This window comes from Homo sapiens, chromosome 16, assembly GCF_000001405.40.
Source record: "Homo sapiens chromosome 16, GRCh38.p14 Primary Assembly".
NCBI lineage: Eukaryota > Metazoa > Chordata > Mammalia > Primates > Hominidae > Homo > Homo sapiens.
Genome location: NC_000016.10, coordinates 31,383,125 through 31,402,761, shown reverse-complemented (window position 1 = coordinate 31,402,761; position 19,637 = coordinate 31,383,125). Strand labels below are relative to the sequence as shown.

Sequence of the window (19,637 nt, the reverse complement as noted above, 5' to 3'; positions counted from 1 at the left end):
GCATGGTGGCATGCACCTGTAGTCCCATCTACTCAGGAGGCTGAGGAAAGAGGATCACTTGAGCCTGGGAGATCAAGTCTGCAGTGAGCTATGATTGCACCCCCACACTGCAGCCTGGATGACAGAACAAGACCCTGTTTAAAAAACAAAACAGTGGGGTTTTTTTGCACATACATAGGCACTAGTTATGGGAAAATAAAATAATAAAAAGAAATCATTAGTTACATAGAAAATATGTCAGTCAAATTCCATAGCAAAATTATTTTTTAAACACTTTCAATGTTTTTAAACAGCAGAAACATTGTATTTCCTGTAGCTTTTGGATACATTATTAAATGCCAAGAGGGCCTCCTAGGTCAGGGCTCAAGTTGGGCCTGTGCTGGGACCATAGCTTCATTCTCCACCCCAGCCCCATCACACACGGCTCACTGGCCTGCCCCCACCCCTCCCGGGATGCCTCCCCGAGGCCAGCCTCCCCCGTCCCCCAAACCCCAGCCCCAGGTGCCCAGTCTTCACCAGGGTGTCAGTGCCCTCAAACTGGCCCATGACAGCTTGGACAAAGCCCTTCATCTGGTTAAAGTCATTTTGGTCAATGCTTCCAGAGCCGTCAATCAGGAAGACGATGTCCATCTCTTGATGTGGACACTCTGTGGGGGAATGGGGAGGAATCGGAGATGCACTGCGGGGGCCCAACCCCCTCCTGCAGCTCCTGCTCAACAGAGCCCGGGGGCTGTTCTTGGCATCCCCACCTAGTTTCCGACCCCTCCTTGGAGGAGGCCCCAGTCTGCCACCCCAGCCCCCTGCTCCCTTCCTCCCACATGGCCTGGAAAGAGAGGGATGACAACACAGGACCCAGGTGGGCTCCTCATCCATTTAATCAACAAATATTCATTAAACACAGATGCTAGGGGTGCCACAAGCATCAAGGGCGAATGTTTAGCAAAGTGGTTCAGGGCGCGTGTTCTGGAGCCAGTGTGCCTGGGCTAAACCCCAGCTCAGCCACGTGCTAATTGGTGAATTCAGGCACATTACTTAACTTCTCTGGACTTCAGTGTCCCTATCTGTAAAATGAAGGTAATATCAGTGGCTACCACGTGGGATCACTGCAAGGATAAAGCAACACGCACATGGGTGCTGGAGACAAGTCCTGGCCCTCTGCCAGGGTCAGCCGCTGGCACCATTCTCACCACGTGCCAGGCACCTTCGAGGCCTGTAGGATATGCCTGTAGGGATGCTGTGGGGGTGGGGCAGGGATCCACCCCAGACCCCACCCTACCCCCAGTCGGTCAGAGGTCCTTATTTCCAGCTACGTGGAGTTGGCTCTGAGCTGAGTCCCTTCCCAGGAATCACGCTAGGCAGAGGGGAACTGTTGCCCACTGGGACACCTCCTGCCCCTGGAGGAAACCTTTACCGATGACTGGTTCAGCGTCTGAAGGGCCAGCTGCACTCTGAGCCCCCCAGGCATTGGCTGAGGCCTCTGGTTTTTTCATTTTTTGTTTTTTTGAGGCAGAGTCTCACTGTCACCCAGGCTGGAGTGTGGTGGTGTGATCACAGGTCAGTGCAGCCTCGACCTCCCCAGGCTCAGGCAATTCTCCCACCTCAGTCTCCTGAGTAGCTGGGACTACAGGTGTGCACCACCTTGCCTGGCTAATTTTTGTATCTTTTTGTAGAGACGGAGTTTCGCCATGTTGCCCAGGCTGGTCTCAACCTCCTGGGCTCTAACGATCCACTCACCTCGGCCTCCCAAAGCACTGGGATGACAGGCAAGCACCCCAGTGCTGACCTTGGGCCTCTGTTATGATTGCATTGCATCCACCCTTCATGCTCCCATGGGTGCGGTGCCCAAGAATATTCCCAGTTGGGAGTGGTGGCTCACGCCTGTAATCCTAGCACTTTGGGACGCTGAGGTGGGCGGATTACTTGAGGTCAGGAGTTCAAAACCAGCCTGGCCAACATGGTGAAACCCCATCTCTACTAAAAATACAAAAAAATTAGCCCGGCATGGTGGCGGTGCCTGTAATCCTAGCTATTTGGGGGGCTGAGGCAGGAGAATCACTTGAACCTGGGAGGTGGAGGCTGCAGTGAGCCAAGATTGTGCCACTGCACTCCAGCCTGGGCGACAGAGTGAGACTCCGTCTCAAAAAAAAAGAACATTCCCAAGTGACCTCAGAGTTTGTGGAGTTCACTCTGCAATCGTGAGGGCACATCATATGCACATGAACAAATAAGACTTTTCATGCTGTCCCCAGGCTCATGGGGGGTGTGTGGCCTGTGTTCAGGGCCCAGTTGGTACCTCCACCAGCAGCCACATCCTGTGCTGCCCGCAGGGCACTGGGAGATCAGGCCACCAGAGCACTAAGGTGTGAGGCCCACACCACAGGGCTGTGGTTTCTGCCCCCTGCCCACCACTGCAGAAAAAAAAAATGCCTTTTCCTCTTTCCTCTCCCCTACCCCACTTGCTCAACCACTGGTGCTTCAAGGGTGCTGGGGAGAAACAGAAGGTCACTTCCTTCCTGCTTCTTCAATCACCAGCAAATCTTGACATCCATGGGGCAGGCTGCAGATCCCCCCAGGAGCTCCCCGTTTTTTGCCCACATCTGGGCAGCCAACATCTTGCAGTGGTGCCTGTTTTTTCAGCTGCGTCAAGAAACCACCCTCTCATCCTCTCTCAGGCCAGGTCTGTGGCAAATCCTCTCACAATGTCTCTTCTGTTTCTTGGTCTTTTTATTGTATCCCCTGGTCTCCCACTAGCAGAAGCCTGGACTTATCCTTTTGAAAAAGGACCCCACCAATCAGGCAAGGATGGCTCAAGCTCTGGGCTCTGCCTCTTGCTATCGATGGAACTCATCTATCTGAACCTTGGTTTTCATATCTGTAAAATGAGAATGGGCCTGCCCGCCACCCAGGATGTTGTGAGGATGCAATAAGGTGATTCATACCAGGTATTCAGCACTGCTTGGCACACAGGTGATCCTCAGTGGACCCTGGTCCCTTCTACTTGGACCCACACCCCCCTTGCCTGCACCAGTTTTGTGCTCCAGTCCCATTTGCATCAGGCATCCCACCTCATGAGTTCCACGGATGGCTGTGAGAAGACATTTACCCCTTGTTTTTAAGTGCCACCTCCCTAACCTGGCTTCACAGACATCTCAGGCTGGGCACGGTCCCCCCAAGAACCCTGGATGTCCCTTCCCCCTTCCCTTGGTCCCCTCCATAGACTCCACCCTCACCATTTGCTCTGGTAATGTTTCTGCTGCTGCTCCACCTTTGTCTAAAGGCCCAGCATGCCTGTCATCATGGCCTCTCTGGTCTGAAGCCCCACCCTCGGTCAGCACCCTGAGCGGCCCCTGGCATTCCCTCTCACACGGCAGATGAGACAGTTTGCCTGTATCTTCCTCCCAGTCCCAGCATGCAGTCCCCAGCTGGAAGATGGGTCAGAGGGGCTATCACATACTATGTGCCAGGCAGGGTTCCAAGTGCTTTATGCACCTCAATCCCTTTCACCTTCATAACCCCCTGATTATTGAGCTCTATTTTACCAATGAGGAAACTGAATGGCTTTGAGGGAATGAAGCTTCAAGGGAATGAAGCCTGGTGCCCATGGAAAACAAACTTGGGAACCACCATGATGCAGACCAACCCTCAGAGAGATGTCATGGTGGTGTCCCCAGGCCCTGTTCTCTGTGGAAGACATGGGCACTGACAAAATTGCACATCGCATTTTCCGCAGCCCTGTCATTTGCTCCTCTTCGAGAGGAAAGTTAGTTTGGGGAATCCTGGAAGCTCAGCAGTGAACCATCCAGAAGAAACACCTCCCTCATGGATTTATCTTCCTCACCACGTTCTTTACCACACTAAGGTCCTTCCTCTGAAACTCAAGAAGTGGCCATGCACCTGTTGGCAACTGGAAGATGCTGTGCCCTCTACAGCCCGCACAGTGGGGCTCCTCTCTGCCTCCATCAGAACTTTCATCCCTCAGGCCAGGCACAAGGACTCATGCCTGTCATCCCAACACTTTGAGAGGCTGTGGCAGAGGATTACTTGAGCCCAGGAGTTCAAGACCAGGCTGGGTAACATAGCAAGACCCCCATCTCTACAAAAACATTTTTTTTAATTAGCCAGGTGTGATGCATGTACCTGCAGTCCCAACTACTCAGTAGGCTAAGGGAGGAGGATCACTTGAGCCCAGGAGTTCGAGGCTGCAGTGAGCTATGATTGCACCACTGCACTCCAGCCTGGGCGACAGAGCAAGACTCTGTCTCAAAAAAATTAGCAGGGTGTGGTGGTGCATGCAGCCTGACAGAAACTCTGTTTTTTGTTTTTTTTTTTTTTTTGAGATGGAGTTTTGCTCTTGTCACCCAGGCTGGAGTGCAATGGCACAATCTCAGCTCACTGCAACCTCCGCCTCCTGGGTTCAAGCGATTCTTCTGTCTCTGCCTCCCGAGTGGCTGGGATTACAGGCGCACACCACCACATCCTGCTATTTTGTTTTGTTTTGTTTTGTATTTTTAGTAGAGGGGTTTCACCACATTGGCCAGGCTGGTCTCGAACTCCTGACCTCAGGTGATCCGCCCACCTCAGCCTCCTAAAATGCTGGAATTACAGGCCTGAGCCACTGTGCCTGGCAGGGACCCTGTCTTAAAAAGAAAAAAATATAAAGAAAAACCCTGCAAAGAACTTCTACCCTGGAGCAGCAGGGCTCCTGCCTGAGCCACCCTCTTCTCCTGGCTTCTCTCCTAGCCACACTCGGCCCTCCAGGGAGGGCACAGGGGCCCAGACACAGGCCTCACGCCTGCTCACCCTCAGTGCCAGCATGTGCTCCACAGGGAACCATGGCCTGCCAGGGACCTACCTGGCGTGGCGTCGGGGACTGTCTGGATGATCTCCCAGCGCGAGCCCAGCAGGAGGCAGGAACCCTTTGAGTATGAGTTCTCCCCACAGACTCTGTGCAGGGTCGGGCCACAGGCCTGGAGGCAGAAGCCTGTGAGCCAGGAGTCCCTAGCAGCCCCTCCTCCTTCACTCCCAGCCCCAGCCTCCTCCCCAACAACACCCCCCGCCCCACCCCACCCCCCCGTGGCCCAAGACACTCACTCACCAGGAGCCGGGAGCCGTTGGTGGAGGCTGCCAGGGTCAGGCCCAAGGACATGTTCACGGCCTCAGGGCGGACTGCAAGGGCAGACACGCGGGGTCTCACTCACAGCACACACTCATTTGCGGGGAAGGTCTGGACTGGAAGCTAAGCGGGGGCACAGTTGGGTCCAGGAGGGTTGAGGGGCCCAATTCCCAGGTGGTCACTCACTGTGCAGCGGGATGGGCTGGCACATGCCGGTGGCAGCTGCGCAGTCATACAGCCGTCCCGTCTGGTTGGCCGCCACCACCTCCAGGGGTGCTCCCACCACGAGTCTGGAGACACAACCATGGCCATGTCACTGCAGCCACAGGAGGGGTGGGAGCAGCGGGCACTTGGGGGTGAGGAAGTGTCCCTCCATGGGGAAGCGAGACTCTGTGGGGGAAATTCCTGGCATTTGCCACTTGGCAGAATATTCAGAAATCAGGGCCCAAGTGTAACTCACAGATGCCCAGGGGCCATGCTGGGGTTTATTTGGTTTTGAGTGTGCATAAGTACGTATGTGTGTATTTATGTTTAGAAATTTCTTTTTAACATTCACCAAAAAAAAAAAAAAAAAAAAAAAAAAAAACCTATTTAAAGACCAAAATGGCATTTCCCAATCATGGGTAAGCACATTGCGTTTCTGAGTTGCCATTATTTTGAACCACCCAAGAAATAAGATCATCTCAAGTTAATTGGAACAATTTCCTGAAGACATGTGCTTTCAAAACAAATAGTTGATTCTGTAATTCATTGGACCAATTTAAATATTGTATAAGCAATTTCAATTGGCCAATGTAAAGCAGTGTACTAGGATCCATAACTATATCTATAGTTATGTAGAGTCAAGGGTTTATTTGCAAAACTCCCTGAGTGGGAAAGTTTTTTAATTTTGGAAATGTTTTCTCACTACCCACAATCTCCTGTCTGTGAGAAAAGCAGACAGATACTGGTGTATTTTAATGCGCCAAGCAAGGCTTCATTAAATGGCCATGTGAGGGTTCCTTCTAGGTGCCGCTCCTTTACAGAAAGCTACAATCCCTGTGCATCATGATTCAGGGGATGCCTAAGGCTTTGTGAAGAAAATCTGAGCATTGGCTAGAGAGGTAGCAGTTTGGAACCTGCTGATACAAACGATGAGCAAAACTTTAGTGTAACCCATCAACCCATATGTTTTTTGAGACAGAGTTTCACTCTGTCACCCAGGTTGGAGTGCAATGGCGTGATCTCAGCTCACTGCAACCTCCACCTCCCAGGTTCAAGCAAATCTCCTATTTCAGTCACCCAGCTAGCTGGGATTACAGGCACCTGCCATCACGCCAGGCTAATTTTTGTATTTTTTAGTAGAGACAGGGTTTCACCATATTGGTCAGGCTGGTCTTGAACTCTTGACCTTAGGTGATCCACCCGCCTCAGCCTCCCAAAGTTCTAGGATTATAGGCATGAGCCACTGCACTCAGCCAATGTATTCTTTTTTTAAAATGTGGCCCAAAAAACTGATGGTGACAGAAGTCTGACCAGGGGTTCTCTGGGGATGTTGGGTGATGAGAAGGGGTCCACGGCAGCCCTGTGCCTGTGGGATTTGACACTGGAGCAGCTGACCTAGGTGGGGCTCACCCAGGCACGCACATGTGTATCCTTTATCAGATTGGGTCTTTCAGATTTGTGCACCTCAGTTGACCACATTTCCAAATAAAGAAAAACAAAAGCCTGGTGCCTGGTGCTTGCTTCCATCCCCCCAGACTGCCAGTCACATGAGGAAGGGAGAGGGGTGCGCGGTTGGAGCTCGGTGACCTCTTATAGCTCCTCGTGACCAACTGAGCCTTCCTGTCCACTGGGGCTCACTGCCAGCACCACTTCCTCCATGGAACCCTCCTGGGTCTGCTCTCTCCCTGCCTGCGCCCCCCAGACCTTGGTGACACCTGTGTCACATTGTGACTTGAACTCTCTGGGACAGGAGAATGTGAGCTCCTGGAAGTGGGGGCAGGTTCATAATTTGTGGGTCCCAATTTGAAATAAAACTGTGGGGTCTCTTGGGGTTGGGGGGCTCTTACCTTTCTTCTGCTCTCTTCCTCAACCTGTCCTGACGTTTTTTATTTGCTATGTAGTGTCCCACTCCCTCGGGGTACTCCCAGAGTGAGCGCCCCTAACTGACTTTACCCAGCTCATGCCAGGGGCGGAAGGTAGCAGCGGTCATTGCTCCCACATGGGTGGGGGAGCCAGCAGCTGATACCCCTTCACCACCCTTCAGGAGGCGGTGGGAGGTGGGGCTGCTGCTGAGCTAAGGCTCCAAACCCCCAGTGCATCTCCCTTCTCCCATGACTTTTTTTTTTTGACGGAGTCTCACTCTGTCACCTAGGCTGGAGTAAAGTGGCACGATCTCGGCTCACTGCAACCTCCACCTCCCAGGTTCAAGCGATTCTCCTGCCTCAGCCTCCCAAGTAGCTGGGATTACAGATGCCTGCCACCATGCCCGGCTAATTTTTTTTGCATTTTTAGTAGAGATGGGGTTTTGCTGTGTTGGCCAAACTGGTCTCAAACTCCTGGCCTCAGATGATCTGCCCGCCTCAGCCTCCCAAAGCGTTGGGATTATAGGCGTGAGCCATGGTGCCCAGCCCTGCCATCATTCTTTACTTGCAAAACACAAATGCACAGATAAAATTTTTAAGAATTGGCAAGACAGGGTGGCTCACACCTGTAATCCCAGCACTTTGGGAGGCCAAGGCAGGAGGATTGCTTGAGCCCAGGAGTTCAGCCAGTCTGGACAACATAGCAAGACTCCATCTCTGTAAAAAGTAAAACAAAACAAAACAAAAAACAGGCATGATGGCATGCACCTGTGGTCCCAGCTATTCAGGAGGCTGAGGTGAGAGGATCACTTGTGCCCGAGAGTTTGAGGCTGCAGTAAGCTGTGATTGCACCACTGCACTCCAGCCTGGGTAACAGAGCTGGAGTAAAAATAAAAATAAAAATAATCAGGAATTTCAAGAGGTCAAGGGCAGAACATTAAACTCCAAAGTTAATGAGTGTGGGCCCTGTGTGACCATACTGGCCCCAAGAAGTGGGCCCTGCCTGGGAGGCAGGTTCAAGGCTTCCCTCCCGAGGTAAGGTAGGGTCTTGTCTAGAGTTTTGTGGCCTTTCCTGGGATTGAGAATAATAGGTGCTGATGTCAGGGCCTCCAAGGAGCCAAGGGAAGACTTCTCACCCCTGCTGGCCTTCCTCCAGGACACCTCCCTGGGGTAACCCACGTGTACCCATCCACAGGACTTGATGTAGTGGAGGTTGGGGAAGGAGGGTGAGTGGGGCCTACCGAGATCCACCGAACTGCACCACGCTCTGCCCAAAGCCGCCTGCATCCTCCTGGAAGATCGTAGGCTCCTCCACATCCAGGTTGAATCCATGATAAGAAGCCAGGACTGAGGAATATTTGGTGGGCGGGGAGGCTGGGAGTTAAAGAAGCCCCAATCCCTAGGACCTCCCAGCCTCTTTTTCTTTTTTTTCTTTTTTTTTTTTTTTTTTTTGAGATGGAGTCTCGCTCTGTTGCTGAGGCTGGAGTGCAACGGCACGATCTCAGCTCACTGCAACTTCCGTCTCCTGGGTTCAAGCGATTCTCTTGCCTCAGCTTCCCAAGTAGCTGGGATTACAAGTGCACGCCACCATGCCCGGCTAATTTTTATATTTTTGGTAAAGATGGGGTTTCACCATGTTGGCCAGGCTGGTCACAAACTCCTGACCTCAGGGGATACGCCCATCTCGGCCTCCCAAAGTGCTGGGATTATAAGCATGAGCCACCGCACCCAGCCAAGCCTGATTTTTGATGGCACGTGAATGTGACTCTGATGCAGTTTTCAGCAGGGGGCCTCTTCCCTACGTGCAGTCAGGACTTGGGGGAAACAGGCCCAGGGAGGTGATGTCCAACCTTTCCCCCTCCCTGGTGGCTTCTGTGGCCTTCCACTCCCGGGGGAGGCTGGGGAGACCTCTGTCACCCACACCAGGGACTCCATGAGTGGGAGCAGGGAAGCCTGGGACAACATAGCCAGCTGGAGAGGTAGCTTAGTCGCCACCTGAGCACAGCCCCTGAGCCCCTCTTCATTCAGGTCACACTCTACTGACTCCGGGCCACTCGCACATGAAGCACTCCCCTGCCTCAGCTCCTCATAAGAGTGGTTGGAGCCGACCACCAGCCCCCAGCCTGCCCTCCCAGATGGAGTCCCCTCAGAACTCCTCCAAGCTTCTCCCCAGCACCCTGGCCCCACTTACCACTCAGAAGAAGCACAGTGCCGAAGGTCATCCCTGAGCAGCGCGTTGAGGGGAAGTGGAAGGTTGGGGACAGAGCACAGAAGGTGCTCACCCTCCCAGGGGGTAGTTAAAATAATGATTCAGGGCCTCCACACAGCAGGAAGAGGGGCACAGTGGGTAGGAGGGGCGTGGTTAATTATGGAACAGAAGTGGGGGCAGGGGCCAACAACACCCTGGGGAAAAACCCTCATTCTGTCCCCCTCCACAACCTGCAGGGACCTGGCTTCCTTCTCCCAGAAGACCACCCTCCCCCAGGCCTCAGGAGCCAGTTGGTACCCAGGGAGCCCCGTAGCTCTCTGAGGTCCCACAGGAGTGGAAGGACAGGAAGCAGAATGGCTGCAGAGGTCTTGGCATGTGGATGTGAGCCGGCAGAGAGGCAGGGAGAAGGGGAGCTAGGCCAGGGTGTGGTTTCAAAAAGCAGAGCCCCTCCAGAGGAGAATGGACACCCAAAATAATAAAGTCATGCCATGGGCTACTACTCAGCAAGAAATAAGATCAAACTACAGATCAGATGCCATGGCTCATGCCTGTGGTCCCAGAGCTTGGCAGGTGGATTGCTTGAGGCCAACAGTTCGAGACCAGCCTAGGCAACATAGCCAGACCCTGTCTTTACAATAAATAACAAAGAACAAACTGCAGTTCTGTACAACAATACAGGTTAACTCAATTTTATCTTAAGTGAAAGAAACCAGACACCAGAATGCCTAATGTCTGGTTCCTTTCATATACAAGAGAATGGGCAAAATTCATCTACGAAGATAGAAATCAGAAGAGTGGTTGTCTATGGTGGGGCAGAGAGGAAACTTTTTTTTTTTTTGACAAGTTTTGCTATGTCGCCCATGCTGGAATGCAGTGGCATGATCAGGGCTCACTGCAGCCTCAAATTCCCAGACTCAAGCAATTCTCCCACCTCAGCCTCCCAGTCACTGGGATTACTGATGCACACCACCATGCCCAGCTAATTTTTTTGTTTTTTGTAGAGACGAGATCGCACTATGTTGCCCATGCTGGTCTCGAGCTCCTGGACTCAAGCAATCCTCCCACCTCCTCCTCCCAAAGTACTGGGATTACAGGCGTGAGCCACCACATCCAGCCAGGAACCTTTAGCATGTGTTAAATTTAGCATTTAACACAATATTTTAATATTTATTACATGGGGTTGGGGAGAAGATAAATGAGTGGTTGTTATTTATTTTCTGTGATTTTTCTGTATGTTTGAAATATTCCATGATTAAACATAAAAGTTCCTTTAAAATGTGAAAAAGAAAAAGGTCTATATATAAAAGGCTAGGAATAGGCCAGGCGCAGTGGCTCACACCTATAATCCCAGCACTTTGAGAGGCTGAGGTGGATGGATCACCTGAGGTCAGGAGTTTGAGACCAGCTCTGGCCAATATGGTGAAACCCCGTCTCTACTAAAAATACAAAAATTAGCTGGGCATGGTGGTGCGCACCTGTAATCCCAGCTACTCAGGAGGCTGAGGCAGGAGAATCGCTTGAACCCAGGAGGTAGAGTTTGCAGTGAGTCAAGATTGCGCCACTGCACTCCAGCCTGGGCGACAGAGCAAGACTGTCTCAATAAATAAAAAATAAAAAATAAATAAAAAGCTTAGGAATATACTTTGAAGGTTAAAATATAACAAGATCCCTACCTATAACATAAATTATTTTGTATATATATGTGACAATTATTTAAAACATTTGGCTGGGCACAGTGGCTTATGTCTGTAATTCCAGCACTTTGGGAGGCTGAGGCAGGTGTATAGCTTGAGGTCAGGAGTTCGGGACCAGCCTGGCCAACATGGTGAAACCCCATCTCTACTAAAAATACAAAGATTAGCCAGGCATGGTGGTGCACGCCTGTAATCCCAGCTACTCAGGAAGCTGAGGCAGGAGAATCGCTTAAACCCAGGAGGCAGAGGTTGCAGTGAGTCAAGATCACACCACTGCATTCCAGCGTGGGCAACAGAGCAAGACTCTGTCTCAAAAACAAAACAAAATGAAACAAACAAAACATTTAAAATGTAATTAAACATCAAGTGCAAATAATATGAAATAGTTTTCTATACAAAAATTTTACATCAATTTACTTGAGAGCTGACATTTAATGGACAGAAGAAATTAATTGTGATGCATTAACGATGCCCTTGCAGGAAACCGAGCCGAGGGCTGTGATTGCTAACTTCGAGGCTGACTTATCTACTGCCTTACAAAGACTGCCCAGGCAAAGTGGAGCGGCAGCCTTCTCCCTCTTGTGCTGAAAGGTTTGTGGCTGGCCGCACCCTGTCATCAGTTCTGTGGATCTGTGAACTTCTCCCTGTATTTGGAACCACAAAATAATTTGTTGGTGATTCTTCATAATTCAGAAATTTAAAGAGCTCTTCATTTTCTCCATCTTCACCACACCTCATCTTTTACACATTTCTATATCCCCTTTAATTTTGGACTTCCTTCTGTAAGTAGTGCTTGAAACTCACGATTTGCTGATATCAGCAACTATAAAATTCTCCAACTTTCCCTAACTCGTATTATCGCTTGTCTCAGCAAAATTTTTTGTTTTCCACTCATGTTTGGAGAGCAATGATAAGGGCAAAATGCAGTAAGGTAGTCAAATGCTCACAATCACTGCACGCTGCCAGGAAATCATCTTTCTCCCAGGCCTGGAGCTGGAGCTGCCAAGGCTCAGAGTCCACAGCAGCTGAAGGTGATGCCCCCAAATTCAGGGCATCCTCTGGGGACTTGATGGCGGCTCCACCCTTAAAGGAACCACCAGCTCTCAGTAAATTTTTAATTAATTAATCAATTAATTTTTATTTTGAGATGGAGTCCTGCTCTGTCGCCCAGGCTGGAGTGCAGTGGTGCAATCTCAGCTCATTGCAACCTCTGCCTCCCAGGTTCAAGTGATTCTCCTGTCTGAGCCTCCCGAGTAGCTGGGATTACAGGCACACACCACCACACCTGACTAATTTTTGTATTTTTAGTAGAGACGGGGTTTTGCCATATTGGCCAGGCTGGTCTCGAACTCCTGACCATAGGTGATCCACCTGCCTTGACTTCCCAAAGTACTGGATTACAGCAGTGAGCCACCGTGCCCGTCTTCTCTCAGTAAGTTTTAAAAAGTTACACTTAGATAAATAAGAAAACAAGAATTTAATAATTGTTTTCAAATCAATGTGAAGGAGAATATTTTTGCAGCCTTTCTCCAGAATGAGCTGTGTCTGCCTGGAGAGCATAACTCCAGGTCCCCATGCCTTAGAGGCCACAGCCAGGATTTGGTTTTGTTTCTCCTGGTCTTCCCCTCCTCCCAGGAAATTTGGCTTTATTCTTCACATGCATTCATAATTCTCTCTCTCCAAATCACTTTTTCCCCCGCATGAGAAAAATACATCCATAGTAATGTGTTCAAATTGCTGGCTTCCAATTCTCCCCTTTTCCATTTGGGGTATGGATTAGATGCCCTGGAATATTTGCATTGAATTTTACCTATTCATCTACTTTGATCATCATAATGATCGCTGAGGGAAGCCAGGCTGTCAATAGACACATCTAAAATACAAAGTTGATGAGAAGGATAGAGTTTGCAAATGAAAGTAATTAAATGCATTAGTCAAAAGCAGAGAGAAAGAAAACCTAGCCAATAGTTCATCAGATAGAAAAGGTTTTTCTTAATAGAAGGATATCATGAAACTGACAGTTAAAGTAGAATTAATTTTTGTTGTTGTTGTTGTTAAGAGACAGAGTCTGGCACTGTTGCCCAAGCTAGAGGGCAGTGGCGTGACCATAGCTCACTGCAGCCTCGGACTCCTGGGCTCAAGTGATCCTCCCACCTCTGGTTTTTTTGTTGTTGTTGTTTGTTTGTTTGTTTGTTTTCTACAGATGGAGTCTCACTATGTTGCCCAGGTTGATCTCGAACTCTTGGGTTCAAGCAATCCTCTGGCCTCCTAAAGCACTGGAATTACAGGTATGAACCACCGCACCTGGAGCCACTGCACCTGGCCTCGAAATTAATTTTGTTTTTTTTGAGACGGAGTCTCACTCTGTCGCCCAGGCTAGAGTGCAGTGGTGCGACTCACTGCAACCTCGGCCTCCCGAGTTCAAGCAATTCTCCCACCTCAGCCTCCTGAGTAGCTGGGATTACAGGTGCACGCCACCATGTCCAGCTAATTTTTTTGTATTATTAGTCGATACAGGCTGGCCTCCAACTCCTGACGTCAGTCGATTCACCCTCCTCAGCCTCCCAAAGTGCTGGGATTACAGGCATGAGCCACCACACCCAGCCCAAAATTAATTTTTATATCATCAGGGATAATACCTTTGTCCAGAGGGCACAAATACAGATGTTGACTTCAAATTCTTGGTCCTGTCACACAATATACTACCCTGAAGATTTTCAGTAGATCCTTTTACTTATCTGTTCACACTTGTTTTGTGCATTTCTTCATCATGCTGAATTCCTGACAGCTTTGTATAAACCACGTAGTATGGAGACAGGTTTTCCCCTCTGAGCTGATAAAGTTTATAAAATATTCTGGACACACATTCACTCAGACTAGAAACGAAATCATGACTAACTTGGATTCTGCATGTATGCCTCTCTTAAGAATCAGTTTGGCCACTTTGCCCCACTCACCCATGGGTGGGCTAACAGGCACAGATGAACAGGGGCCAGCAGAAAACACCCATGACCAGCAGGCACTTTGCATCCAATCTAGTTAATGTATTTCTTTTTTTCACTCAGTTCTCCTAAAACCACCAGCCCAGGCTCCTTGCTAGAAAAATTGCCAGGTCATGAGAGTTAAATCATAAAAAGTTGGATGCTCAACTTTTCTAGCTTTATAGATGTGTTTTTTGCAGACATGCGACATTAAAGACAATTTAGCTAGGCCAGGCATGGTGGCTAATGCCTGTAATCCCAGCACTTTGGGAGGCGGAAGCAGGAGGATCACTTTAGGGCAGGAGTTCAAGACCAGCCTGGGCAACACAGTGAGACACCATCTCTAAAATTTTTTTTTTTTTTGAGACAGAGTCTCACTCTGTCACTCAGGCTGGAGTGCAGTGGTGCAATCTCGGCTCACTGCAGCCTCTGCCACCCAGGTTCCAGCAATTCTCCTGCCTGTAGCTGGAACTACAGGCACATGCCACCACACCCAGCTAATTTTTGTATTTTTAGTACAGGCGGGATTTCACCATGTTGGCAAGGCTGGTCTCAAACTCCTGACCTCAGGGGATCCACCTGCCTCAGCTTCCCAAAGTGCTAGGATTACAAGCACGAGCCACCATGCCTGGCAACGTTTTTAAAACATTAGCCAGGCATGATGGCACACACCTTTAGTCCCAGAAGCTCGGAAGGCTGAAGCAAGAGGATCGCTTGAGCCCAGAAGACCAAGGCTGCAGTGAGCTCTGATTGTGCCACTGCACTCCAGCCTGGGCAACAGAGCAAGATTCTGTCTCAAAAAAAAAAAAAAATTACCATATGATTCAGCAATTCCACTTCTGGGTGTATACCCAAGAGAATTGAAAGCATGGTCTTGAAGAGATATTTGTGCGCCCATATTCATCATTCATGAGAGGCAAAAAAAGCAACCCAAATGCCCATTGATGGGCAAATGGATAAACAAAACGTGGTATATACACACAATGGAATATTATTCAGCCTTCAAAAGGAGAGGAATTCTGACACATGCTACCACATGGGTGAACCTTGAGGACATTATGCTAAGCAAAATATGCCAGTCGCAAAAAGACAAATGCTGTATGAGTCTATTTCTATGACATGCCAAAGCAGTCAAATTCATAGAGACAGAAAGAATTGTGGTTGCCAGGAGTTAGGGAAAGGGGAGAATTGGGAGTTGTTTAATGGGTATAGGGTTTCAGTTTTACAAGATAGAAAGAGCTCTTGAGATTGGCTATACTTAAAAATGGTTAAGATGGTAAATTTTATGTTATGTATATTTTATCACAATTAATTTTTTTAAGTTCCAAGTAACTATCTTTCTCTTTGACATTAATGTGAAAAGCAATCTCCTACTTGCCTATTCCTCCATACAACACTGAAAAGATGAATAGGCAATGGCCATGATTTGATCATGTTCACCATTTTCCCTCCTTTCTTAAGCACTGAGTCAAGGGTGAGAGGCATCCCGTGAACTACCGTGTGCTCTGTGAATACTGCCCTGCAAGCATCAGCCTCTTTAGCCTGAGTGCACCATAAGTAGTTAGCCCATTCTACTGATGCAGGGCAGGCAAGCTCCAAAATTGGGGCTTAGCCCGGGAGGGTTCTTAACTTTGCTCAGGAAAGAACTGAAGAGCGAGCCTGTGGTGGAAGAAAGCAGGTTTATTGAAGCAGCAGTGGCAGCAAGGTAGCTGTTCCTTGCAGAGCAGGACAACCCATAGGCAGTGAGCCCACAGTAGCAGCCAGTGGGCTGCTGGCTAACTGTACTTATACCGACTTTTAATTACATGCAAATTAAGGGGTGGGTTATTCAGAACTATCTGGAAAAGGTGTGGGGAGTTTCCAGAACCATATGAGGTAACTTGCTGACCGTTGCTATGGTGTGTTTCCATGGCATTTGTAAACTGTCATGGCACCGGTGGGAGTGTCTTTATGCTAATAAGTGGCGAGGGTAATGAGAGTTTGCTTTCCTGGCCATCTGCTGGTTTGGGCTGTTTTTTTAGTGCATCCCATCTTGACCAGATCATGCTCTGATTAGCTGGGTTGTGACCAGAAAACAGGTCCTGCTGATCTCCTACCTCACTATCTCTCCCACCACTCATAGGATTAACATTAATTACAAATGAACAACAAAACCTCCTTTTCTGTCACTAGAGGTTTCAGCAGCTGAAAAGCTCCCACATACATGTGTTGCACAAAGATGAAAGCTGATTCAGACTTTGTATGGCAGTGACTTATTCCAAGTATGAGGTGACATGCTTGCTCTCCCACACAAGCGTTAGTCACTGCTATTCTGCTGTATACCTCTGACATACACAATGTCCAAGCTGTTCCTTCACAAAGGAATCTTGCTCACAGCATAGTCTTCAAGCATAGTATTTGCCAGACACTGTAGGTAGCCTATCCAACAGCCACCAGCGCTGCCACCTTCCTGGCTGGTGGAGCTACCCTCCTTTTTTTTTCTCTTTTTTTTTTTTTTTTTGTTGAGACAGAGTTCTACTCTGTCCCCCAGGCTGGAGTGCAGTGGCATGACCTCAGCTCACTGTAACTTCCACCTCTCAGGTTCAAGCGATTCTCCTGCCTCAGCCTCCCAAGTAGCTGGGATTACAGGCACCTGCCACCATGCCCAGCTAATTTTTGTATTTTCGGTAGAGACAGAGTTTTGCCATGTTGGTCAGGCTGGTCTCAATCTCCTGACCTCAGGTGACCTACCCACCTCTGCCTCCCAAAGTGCTGAGATTATAGGCATGAGTCACTGCACCTGGCTGGAGCTACCTCTTTTTATTAAGCCTGTGAAAAGCACATGCTCACCTTCTCAGCACTGCATGCAACCAAGGGGATGGAATTTGACCCAATCCTAGTCAGTGGGAAAGAACTAAACCGCCCCCGCAAGGACGATCAATTGGAAGATCAGAAAGAATCTGTCAATGCTGAGACTCTGCATTAAACACTAACCTGCACCTGAACCTCTTGCAGAGTAAAGGTCTTCTGTCTGCTCTTACATGCTTTTGTTTTTTTCTATTATTTGCAGCCAAAAGCAACCTTTCAATACAGGTATGAACTCTACTGCCATTTCTACAAGCTTCTTGGAAATTATGTGACTTGTACCTACTTTTGCTACTTTAAAAAGCACCTTTGATTTATGTCACTGTGGTTTTGCTGTCTCCTCTGTATTCGGTGACAACACTAATCACTTTTGAATAGGAAAGCTACATGTAGCAGTTGTTCTAAGAAATCTCTATTGCTTTACCTGAGGCAGGCAGATCATGAGGTCAGGGGTTCGAGACCAGCCTGACCAACATGGTGAAACCCCCGTCTATACTAAAAATACAAAAATTAGCTGGGCGTGGTGGTGCGCGCCTGTAATCCCAGCTACTCAAGAGGCTGAGGCAGGAGAATCACTTGAACCCAGGAGGCAAAGGTTGCAGTGAGCCAAGATGATGCCACTGCACTCCAGCCTGGGCGACAGAGCAAGACTCCATCTCAATAAATAAATAAATAAGAAAATAACACAAAAGCTTTCAGAGGTTCATGCGACTGTTTGATAAAGTTTCAGAATGGGCAGCACACTAGGGACAAATACATGTCAGAACCAATACAACCTACCTGTCAGGGAGTATAATACCTTCTAGATATTTTCGGGTTTTGGCTCACAATCACTTATTCCGGTATGCATGTCTATACTATACGTGCACTGGGCTCAATATTTAAAAGTCAATATTGACTTTGATGACATTATTGTAAATTGTAGCAATTAGATTAGTTTTTAATCACAACTTCCATGCTTTTGAGCCATTGATCCATTTTGTGATTCGGGGATCTAATGCAACACAATAGCCAACCCTGAAAATGCAAATGTAATAAATGTACACAATAACACACAAAGGAAGAATATCAGAAAATAACACCTTGTCGGCCAAGTACAGTGGCTCATACCTCTAATCCCAGCACTTTCGGAGGCCGAGGAGGGCGGATCATGAGGTCAGGAGTTCGAGACCAGCCTAGTCAACATGGTGAAACCCCATCTATACTAAAAATACAAAAATTAGCTGGAAATGGTGGTGCCTGCCTGTAATCCCAGCTACTCCAGAGGCTGAGGCAGGAGAATCGCTTGAACTTGAACCTGGGAGGCGGAGGTTGCAGTGAGCCAAGATCATGCCACTGCACTCCAGCCTGGGTGACAGAGCGAGACTCTGTCTCAAAAATAAATAAATAAAAATGGGCATGGTGGTACGCCCCTGTACTCCCAGCTACTTGGGAGGCTGAGGCAGAGGCATCACTTGAACCCAGGAGACAGAGGTTGCGTTGAGCCGAGATCGTGCCACTACACTCCAGCCCGGGAGACAAAGTGAGACTATCTCAAAAAATAATAATAATAAAATAAAATAGAAAATAACAACTTGTTGCCTGAATTTAGACAAGAACCCACTGTAGTCCCTGGAGTCCGTGTGCCACACAATTATTAAGGCCACAACACTATTTCTGTGCAAATCACTAGTTTCAAATGTTTGAGATGTATGGGTTTCTTGCTCTTTTTCTCTAAAACCTTCCACTTAGAAGACCATCATTGACCACCAGTGGTTCGTGGAACACATTTTGAGAAACACCACTCTAGGGTCAATTTTTTTTTTTTTTTCTGAGACATGATCTTTCTCTGTTGCCCAGGCTGGAGTGTGGTGGTCCAAATCACAGCTCACTGTATCCTCAACCTCCCAGGCTCAAGTGATCCTCCTGCTTCAGCCTACCAAGTAGCTGGGACTACAAGCACATGCCACCATGCCTGGGTAATTTTTAAATTTTTTTGTAGACACAAGGTTTCAATATATTACCCAGGGTGGTCTCAAATTTCTGAGCACAAACAATCCTCCTGCCTCGGCCTCCCAAAGTGCTGGGATTACAGGCATGAGCCACTGTGCCCAGCCATTAGGGCTGAATTCTTACAAAGCCTTATCTTCTGATTCCCTTTCTGAGGAAACTGCATAATAATTAGTCATCCTGGGGACTCAAAAGCTTCAAAATCCACAGGGATTTTGGAGCCTCTGCTGATGTATAGGACAGACATTTTTGGCTGGAGGTAAAGGGCCACTTTCCATCTTCCCTTCAAATCACTCAACTGCCTCCCTTCTGTTTTTCTAATTGAAACATCCACACGGCCCGGGTCCCTTGCTGGTGATAGCTGCAGTGGCGTCACTCCGAGGTCAGGAATGGCTTGTCCTGTGAGGCCCCCAGCTCAGTGCCAAGCACCATGATGAACTTTATGCCAGGATGGTGGCATAATAGCAAGAATGACCTTATTGTGGGCAGCAGCTCTCAATGTGGGACCCCAACATGTTCTTCAATCACTCACTATATGCAGACAGTGTGCCCTTCAACACATCCTAGGACTTGTAGGAAACGCTTGTGAGTATTGGTCACTCCAGAGACCTTTCCAGGTGGAAAAGTAGCCACTGGAGGTTGTCCCTTCTCTATTCTATGCCCCCTCCACCCGACAGCTCCACCAGCTTACCATCGGCACCAGCCCTGAGAGTGGAGTGAGCAGATTAAGAGGTCAGGTTA

At 48.7% G+C, this 19,637-nt stretch overlaps 1 protein-coding gene across 18 annotated transcripts in view; it reads right to left on the bottom strand.

Moving 5' to 3' along the window:
• The window catches only part of ITGAD (integrin subunit alpha D), a 33,171-nt gene extending 23,744 nt beyond the window's left edge, over positions 1-9,427 (bottom strand). For all 18 annotated transcript variants that reach the window (XR_950791.3, XM_011545835.4, XM_017023215.3 and 15 more), the window contains exons 1-6: positions 9,371-9,427; positions 8,421-8,526; positions 5,300-5,403; positions 5,096-5,166; positions 4,853-4,967; positions 517-647 (exon numbers count right to left, since the gene is read on the bottom strand). Coding sequence is in view for 17 of the 18 variants with exons in the window: in XM_011545835.4 (XP_011544137.1) it covers positions 517-647; positions 4,853-4,967; positions 5,096-5,166; positions 5,300-5,403; positions 8,421-8,526; positions 9,371-9,401 (558 nt within the window). In the remaining variant the exon portion in view is untranslated. The remainder of the gene's footprint in view (positions 1-516; positions 648-4,852; positions 4,968-5,095; positions 5,167-5,299; positions 5,404-8,420; positions 8,527-9,370) is intronic.